We start from the raw sequence: 9,028 nt of genomic DNA on the forward strand, positions 1-9,028 counted from the left end.
AGTGACTTTCACCCGGAGCCCATGAATCAACAAGGGAGAAAAGCAAAACTTTTCCTTTAATATGTTTTCTTCCTGGGAAGTAGAGAAAAATATTCTTCCCTCTTTGAAAACTAAAACCCGTGTCCTCCAAAATTGGTACTTGTTGTATGCAGATCAGTAAGATTTTTTTTTTCTTTTTGAAAAAGGCTTCCTATGTAGCTCTTCTTTTCTGGAGTGTGATGGCTAAGAGACTAGCTGTAAAGTTAAACTTCTCAGGTCTCTGTTCTGTTTCAGGCACTGATCAGCTGTGTCACATTGAGCAAGTAACTTATGTGATCCTTAGTTTTCTCATATGAAAAATGTGCATAATCATCATATCTACCTCAGAGGGTGGCTAAAGCTTTAAATGAGATCATCCATGTAAGGCAGGACATAGGACAGTACCTCTGCCTTCCTCATTTCATCAAAGGAAAATTACACTGGACACTTTTTAGAAATGGCAAGAAAGGGCCTGGCGCAGTGGCTCACTCCTGTAATCCCAGCACTTTGGGAGGCTGAAGCAAGTGGATCATGAGAGCTTACAGAGTAAGCTCTACAGAACTATTACCTGTTTTTTATTACTATTTCTACTTCTATGGGCTCTGTCCAAGAAAATCAAGTCATGACATTAGTCAGAAGATACTGTTATTCAAAGAGGTTATTGCAGGAGGGGGAAAGAGACTATTGCAATAGCAAGAAATGTATGATCCATGTCTGCAAGTATCTCCAAATCAAAGAGAAAAAAAATTATTTTGGAAGGTAAAAGAGGGGAGGAGAAATAGCAGAATATTTGAAGGGGAAGCTGAGCAAGCAAGAGGGAATGGCCAATGTGGTTTGACAAGAAAAAGGTCTCACTGTGTGGTTGGGTGATTCCCAGGAGAAGCTGATGAGAGGGCACATTCTACTTTTTTGTGCTTGGTTCAGGCTTGGAAGAAGTGTAGTTCAGGGGCCTGTAGGAAAGAGAAGCCTGTTGAAAGTTCAGTCAGGACAAAACATAGGGTAAGAAATGAGCAGCTGTGAACACTTGGTCATCTCTAAGTCATCCAGTTCCAAGTTATTCTCTTCTATCTTCACATCCTCAGACCCTGTTGTTCTTCAGTTTGAGTATCTCCTTGTACTGCAGAGGCTTTGTGTTCAATTCTGGGAGTGTAGTGCTGGGTCCTAATTATACACTGCTTCCCTCCATGACTGTAGCAGGTGTGCTGAAAACATTCTCCACTGGGTTTTCCACTGGAGCAGAAGGAACACCACCTACATATGCTATGAAAGTCATTGTTTTACCACTCCAGTGAAACCATTTCTGTACTTGTTGGAAACTGGTGAATTTCCCTAAAGTGTTTCTATTTCAATTTTTGCTTTGTGAGAAATAAAGGAAGTAAGCCTGTTCTACCCCAATTGAGCATTGCACCCAGGATCTTCTCAATTTTCTCCAAGTAGTTCCCTAGTATTACATCTTTACTTCTAATTTGGGATCCTCCTGCATATTTCATAGAAAGGGGAGAAAAAATAGCTTAGTGGAATACACATGTGCACAGCACAGCTCCCTCTTCTCCATATGCTAATGCTGGAATCTCTTACCTTAGCCAGAAACATCAGTGGTTTTATGAGAGACTGAATATACAAATAGACAATGGCCAGACTATAAATGACAGCATAACTCTGACCCAAAACCTTTGCAGCAACCAGTCCAGAAAGCCAAACCAACTTCTATAGCAACAGACCCAAAATTAAAGATTTGGTCAATGACTGTCTGCTTCCCTAAGTTTTGCCCCCACTCCCAATTCAGAATAAACCAGAGAAAGCCAAGTATGCTATCCAACCAATGACATAGAACGCTTCATTTCTAGTTAGCCTGCCTCTGGCTTCCTCATTTCATCAAAGAAAAATTGCACTGGACACTTTTTAGAAATGGCAAGAAAGGGCCTGGTGCATTGGCTCACTCCTGTAGTCTGGGTACTTTGGGAGGCCAAGGCAGGTGGATCACTAGGTCAAGAGATGGAGACCATCCTGCCCAACATGGTGAAACTCCGTCTCTACTAAAAATACAAAAAATGGCCAGGCGCAATGGCTCACACCTGTAATCCCAGCACTTTGGGAGGCTGAGGCAGGTAGATCATGAGGTCAGGAGTTTGAGACCATCCTGGCCAACATGATGAAACCTTATCTCTACTGAAATACAAAAAAAAAAAAAAAAAAATCAGCTGGGCATGGTTGTGGATGCCTGTATTACCAGCTACTCGGGAGGCTGAGGGAGGGGAATTGCTTGAACCCGGGAGGCGGAGGTTGCAGTGAGCCGAGAGTGAGTCGAGATCGCACCACTGCACTCCAGCCTGGGCGACAGAGTGAGACTCCGTCTCAAAAACAAAACAAACAAACAAAAAAAATTAGCTGGGCGTGGTGGCGTGTGCCTGTAGTCCCAGCTTCTGGGGAGACTGAGGCAGGAGAATCACTTGAACTCGGAAGGAGGAGGTTGCAGTGAGCGGAGGTTGAGCCACGGCACTCCAGCCTGGCGACAGAGCTAGATTCTGTCAAAAAAAAAAAAAAAAAAAAAAAGTAAAAGAAAAGAAAAAATGGCAAAAAAGACTTTATTCAAGACTATGCAATAGGGGTAAAAACAATTGCAATTTAAAAAGGAAATTAAATTGAACTCTGTTGAAACAAAGGCAAGAATATTTTTTAACACTGGGACTAACAAATGGAAAAATATTGGAGGACTTTAGAGGAGAGGAAGATCAATATTATTAGGCTATCTGTATTTGCTAACAGTCCTTATCAAAGTTGAGCTCCTGCCCTCCCACAGAGATTGGGAGACAGGGGCTCTACCTTTCCTGATTACATTTCATACAGATGGGTCACAGGTCCTTGAGAAAGATTTTCCTGAGTTGTATAAATTTACATCTGAAAGGGGCAGAAAAAGAATTTACAATTTCAATTTTTCTAAAGTAAACACTCTAAGAAAAGGGCGGTCAGGGGCTTATAGTTGGGAAAAGCTTCTAAAGTTTAATCAAGCTGAGGGAGACACTGGACTAGATTGGTCAATGCCAACAACCTCCAATAAAAACATACCTGAAGCTCCTCCCTTTGCCTTTTCTATGATAAAGCTTTCCTATTTCCCTGCCTACCTTTCTGTCTCTGCAAAACACAAGCATTAGTGTTGCAGGGCTTTTCCTTAGTTCAGCTGAAGATGAGGTCCTTGTCACATGACCACAAAAATTTAGGCTTGCAGACAATTTGAAGGGTTAGTAAGTCAGGGTTTTATTGGGTGAAAGGGGGAAAAAAAAGGGAAACAGGGACCCTCCATGAAGCCAGAGTCCCTGCCGATGCACTTCCTGCATTGCAGTTTGAATCCCAGGTTCCACACAGGAAGAAGAGGGGCAAGGCTCCTCCCTGCTGCAAATGGCTTGAACTTCTATGGCTCCACCCTAGTGCGCATTTATCCCAGTGCACAGGCTGGTTGGAGTTTTTCTGGGGACCCCTTCCCACCTGGCTGTCTCAATAGCGCCTGGCTCCCTTGCTTTAGCAAGCTCCGCATAAAGAGTTCCTGCTTATTTTCATTTGAGTTGTCTTCTTTCATTACCAAACTTGAAAATATAAAAATTTTCTGTAATGGAGATCTCGATCTTTAGACATTTTCAACCATTTTACATATAGTGTACCTTATTCTATGTTGTGCTGCTGAAACAGAATACCGAAGACCGGGTAATTTATACAAAACAGATTTATTTCCTATAGTTCTGGAGGTTGGGAAGTCCAAGATTGAGAAGCTGCACCTGGTGAGTAGCTTACTGCTGTTCCATCTCATGGCAGAAGAGAAAAGAGAGGGAAAGAGCAAGCAAGCGACCAAGCTCTTAGTATCATGCCTTTATAAACAGCATTAATCCGTCCGTGAGCGCGGAGCCCTTGTGACCTAAACTTCTCGCATTATGCCCTATCTTCCAGCATACCGGGGATTAACTTTGTAATGCATGCTTTTTGGAGAACACACTCAAACTACAGCATAGTGATTACTGTAATTAAAACAAAAACAGAAGCAGGTCTAAGGAAAATGATATTTCTCCATGTTTCAAATTAATAAAGAAGGCATTCTACAGTATTATAAATTTAGGAATATTAGTTCTATATATTTTTATTGGATAACTTTTTACCCATGTCTGCATCTTTGCGCACAAAAAATATACATATCCTGCAAAACACTAGTAAATTATATCATACATTATAAGTTTATAAATGCAAAATGATAGGGAGAAGGGTAGAAAGAATCCAGAGTGTGGCATAGGTGGAGTGGGTTGTTTTAAATAAGTAGATCTCAGAGTGGATTTCACTAAGAAGGTGAAATCTGAGCGAAGTGTTAAAGAAAATTAATCATGTGGCTACCCGGGGTGTGAAAGAAACTAGAACCTTGAGACCTCAAACTCACTATGCCAAAGGGAAAGTTAAACTTGGGAACTGAGTTGTACAAACACTGCCTTCCTTTTGTCCCAAACAGACAGCTGTAATTTCACAACCCTATGTTGTGCCTTATATATAAGCCTGGTTCCTCTAATCATTGGAATTCACATATCTCCCCAAACGGACTCCTTCACAAATGGCTTACAAGGAAATTTTTTGAGGGCCCCCAAATCTTTCAGAACATACATATTTTCCTATAAACTTGTCCTAAAACAGAATCCTGTTCAATCTCACCCTGAAAATGTCAATTACCAGCTTATCGTCATAGGTACCCGACAAGGACAAGACTAGAAATCATCCTTCCACCACTCCAAGACAAATTCAAGATTGACTTTTCCCTCTACTCCCTCTTTTCACATGTAAAATGTAGATTCACTGAGTGTTAATCAAAGCCTCACAAGAATGTAACCACTTGCCTCATTGTCCACCCTTCTTCCTTTCTTCCCCCTCTTTCCCCTCCTGCTTGCTCTTTTCCTTTTAAGTATTAGAGTTCTCAAAACAGTCTTTGCAAAAAGCACAGATGCACCTGTGATTTGTGTTTTTCCCAGTTGCATCCTCAACCTTGGCAAAGTAGACCTAAATTGATTGAGATTTGCCTTAGTCACTTTTTGTTTTACAGGGGGAATATTATTCCAGTCTTTGAGTGTGCTTGATGTGTTTGGAAAATAACAAGGAGGCCAGCATGATTGAAAGGGTGATTTGAAATGGATTGGTGGGAGTGGAAGGATAACAGGGGATGAGGTCAGAGAGACAATGGAGAGAGGAGGTTTCAGATGGCATAGGGCCATAAGGTCTATAAAGACAATGGAATCACATTAGCTTTTACTCTGAAGGAAATGAAGAGCCATTGGAGGACTTTGAGCAAAATAATCATTCAAATAATTTCATGTGATAAGAGAAAAGAACCTTGCAGTAAAGTCAGCACACCTGGCCTCTCTCCAATGCTGATCTTTCACAAACTTGAAAGAAGTTCAATTGCAATTTCAAGTTTTCTAAAGTAAACACTAAGAAAAGAGTGGTCAGGGCCTTATAACATTTAGGGGCTAAATGTTACAGGTAATGATAGAAAATATATATATTTTTTTCAGTTTCCAAATGGTTATTCTATCAGATTGTTTGAACATTAAATTTATCCTGTTTGCAATCCAAAATAGTTACCAGAAATTTGCTGTTTTGTGTGTATGCGTGTGTTTACTTTTATTGTTTTTCTAAACTCTTTGGCATGATTTTCGGGGGGTGTTCAGACTGCCACAATACTAGTTAGGAGAGGACATTTTCTTTGTGCTGCCAATTTTGATCATTTAAATTTTGGTTTGTTTGGGTTGTGACTTTTTTGTTTTTGAAGTCACCAGACACTACTACTGCAGTTTTCTTTCTCTCTTTTTTTCCTCTCTCTTCTTTCTTTCTTTCTCTTTCTTTTTTCTTTCTTTCCTTCTTCCATCCTTCCTTTCCTTCTTCCATCCTTCCTTTCCCTCCTTCTTCCATCCTTCCTTTCCCTCTTTCCCTTCCTCCTTCTTTCCTTCCTCCCTCCCTCCTTCCTTCCTTCCCTCCCTCTCTCCTTCCTTCCTTCCCTCCCTCCCTCCTTCCTTCTTTCTTTCCCTCTCTCCCTCCTTCTCTCCTTTCCTCCCTCCCTCCTTCCTTCCTTTCTCCCTCCCTCCCTCTTCCCTCTCTCCCTCTCTTCTTCCTTCCTTCTTTCCTTTCTCCCTCCCTCTCTCCCTCTCTCCCTCTCTTCTTCCTTCCTTCTTTCCTTTCTCCCTCCCTCTCTCCCTCTCTCCCTCTCTTCTTCCTTCCTTCTTTCCTTCCTTCTTTCCTTTCTCCCTCCCTCTCTCCCTCTCTCCCTCCCAGTAAGAATTGTGTTAGGTAATCTTGTATTATCCCTTATCACTCACAAAACCTCTGCTCTCTAGAAAATCTTATTGAATTGGAGAAGTTCCAGTTCCTCAAGTGGGTGGGAGATTGACCACTGTAGAAACCTAATGTTATGGCAGTTGAAAAAATGATCCAAAAGCCCTCTCATCTCTGATACATTTCCCTAATCTTGATACATTTTTTAACAAGTGTTGTTTTTATTCTTTTAATTTTAAGCTTAATTCTGCTCAAAGTTTCTATGATTCAGAAAAGAGCTGCCAAGATACTGTTCCAAAGAAAATACGTTTTTGTAGCTTGTGTGGGAATACTTCCAAAAGGTAAAGTAGATTCCTCTGGAAAAGACAGTATCAAAATTCTCCAGATGCCTGGAGCTCTAAGCCCATTATTGCATTCCACGTGCTGCTAGTAGCATAACAAAGTCAATCAGTACCCTTTGGTCAATAATCCTCCCAACTATTAACAGGAAAAAACTGTGAGCTTGTAAATGAAATATCTTGAGCTAGATAAGGTGCTCATTATCATGAGAGGAGCAATTTGCATGTTAGCATGGGGGAAATATGATAGGGTTTTAAAAACCCTCTTCACTCTCACAGTCAACTAGATTGTAAAGGACGTAATCATTGCCTCTTTTCTGTAAATTGCATTTAATAATTTTGCATTTTCCCCACAACTTTCCACTAAAAGGCAGAGATAACGAATAAAGGATTTTAAAAAGTAAGCAAAGGTTTCTTTCAAGTTTAATTTTCATCAGTTTTCTATTATATACAATGCAGAGGTAGATGTTTCTTGCTTGCTGGGAGTGGTGGGGAAGCTCCTATTTAAACATAATGAAATCTCAGAGGTGGTAGATAAACTATAATTCCCAGAAAAATAAGAGACTACTGTAAAGGCTCAAGGCCAGCAAAAAAAGGTTGTGTTAAAGCCACTGAGTATAGAACAGATCTTTCATAACATGCCATCCCTCATCAAGGTAAAAAGTTGCTTATCAATTTAAAGAGATGGAGTGGAGAGACAGGGAGAGAGAGAAAGCAGCAATGGCTGCTGCTCCTATAATAAGGTGACTAATTGTATGCTATTATCTGTTTGATGGTTTAAGCAGAATAAAGTGACACTGATCTGGAAATGTGAGAATGAAGCAGAACAAGAGAGTGTTTGTAAGAGGAATAATTTCAGGCACCCATGAGGCTTCACGTAAAACTCATTTGCACATAGACAGGGCTCTCTTGTGGATGATGGATAAATGTAATTCCTAGTTACCAGTGTGTCTTTTTTTCTTTTCTCTTTATTTTTTTTTCACCGACAAGGCATTGAAGACAGAAGAATGGAATACGGACAAAAATGGCTTCAAAAATTAGAATAATTTCTAAACTAATTTAAATTTCTAAATGATTAGACAGTGACTGTGTGGACTGTTCCCTCAGGTCACTAACACAGATATTCTTAATAGTCATTCCTGCAATATTCAATAGACGTCAACAATATTGTCCAATCAAGCTAAAAAAAAATGTGAAAATGGGCTGTGAGTTTTACTCAATACTTGAAAGCTTTCAATTAAGTTTTACATAAGAGAAAACATACATGAACTTTAATCTTTTAAGCAAATTCTTACTGAAAAGGAGAAAGGGGGACAATTTTAAAACAAGAAAGATCAAAGCCAATTCAAGATGTACGAGCGCCATCTGGTGTCCATAATAAAAATGCTATCAGTTTTTAGCAGTCAAACTCCCCTTTTGTGGGCTTTGTAGTGCAAAAGGGTTATGGTACAAAGAGTAATTCTTGAAATGGGATTTACTCTATGTCTAATACCCAGATGTTACTATTTACTATTTGTTTTTAGAGTAAACTAACCTAAGGAAGTGAAGTTGGTTGAAGCAGTGGGTTTGCTGTTAACACATATGTTCAAACATTTCAGCAAAAATAATTCATGTTTCAACTAGAGAATTCACATAATTGCTGCAGTTCTCCACTCTAATTTACTTAAGCAAACCTTCCTTGATACAGGAAAAGTGTTTCTATACTTTCAGAAGCAATGCCTGTGTAAAAATATTGGAGAAGCAGATGGGTAGCATATTTTTAAGGAAGAAACTTAGAGGCTTATAATGTTAATGCACTAAGATAAAATTAGCAATATATTAAAAAAAAGAAACCTAAGTAGTGGTACTTAAGTGTCTTGGAAATTTATGCACATATCTATCAATAGAACTTGAAAAATACACTGTCCTCCATCCTGTTCTGCGACTGATTTTTACTATACCTATATATTAAATGTAATAACTCATCCTGTTCTCTTAACATTCTTGGTATCATTCGAGCTACAGAGGTTTCTGACAGTTTCAAGGACCAGCAGAATATTTCACAAATGAGGTACTTGCTACTCAACAACAGTCAGCCCTCTGATATCAAGAAATCTTTAGGCTTACCCTATGTGGTTTAGTTGTATTAATGAGTCCTAAATAACATTGTGTTTCTTTCTTTGAATAAGTGCATTCAACAAAATTTTAACCATGCTTCTTTCTTACTGAAGCTAAGTAACATGCAGCAAAAACACAGTCATAAAGAAAGTGAAAAAATAATTTATATATCCTTTATCTTATAGAATAAGAAATCTGAAGAAGATAATGTTTCTTTTGTTCTAAAAAACTTCTGGACTTTTATTAAGAGACAAAAACCACTTCAATAGTGTAAAAATTGA

At 39.3% G+C, this 9,028-nt stretch overlaps 1 annotated feature.

The window, feature by feature from the left end:
• Positions 6,157-6,656: an enhancer, noted in NCBI's record as "H3K27ac hESC enhancer chr9:12463247-12463746 (GRCh37/hg19 assembly coordinates)". NCBI's record gives its function as "activates a minimal SCP1, AML or CMV promoter by ChIP-STARR-seq in primed H9 embryonic stem cells {active_cell/tissue: H9 hESC(primed)}" and the evidence as "EXISTENCE:reporter gene assay evidence [ECO:0000049][PMID:30033119]".

The sequence above is a fragment of the Homo sapiens genome, chromosome 9, assembly GCF_000001405.40.
Source record: "Homo sapiens chromosome 9, GRCh38.p14 Primary Assembly".
Taxonomy (NCBI): Eukaryota; Metazoa; Chordata; class Mammalia; order Primates; family Hominidae; genus Homo; species Homo sapiens.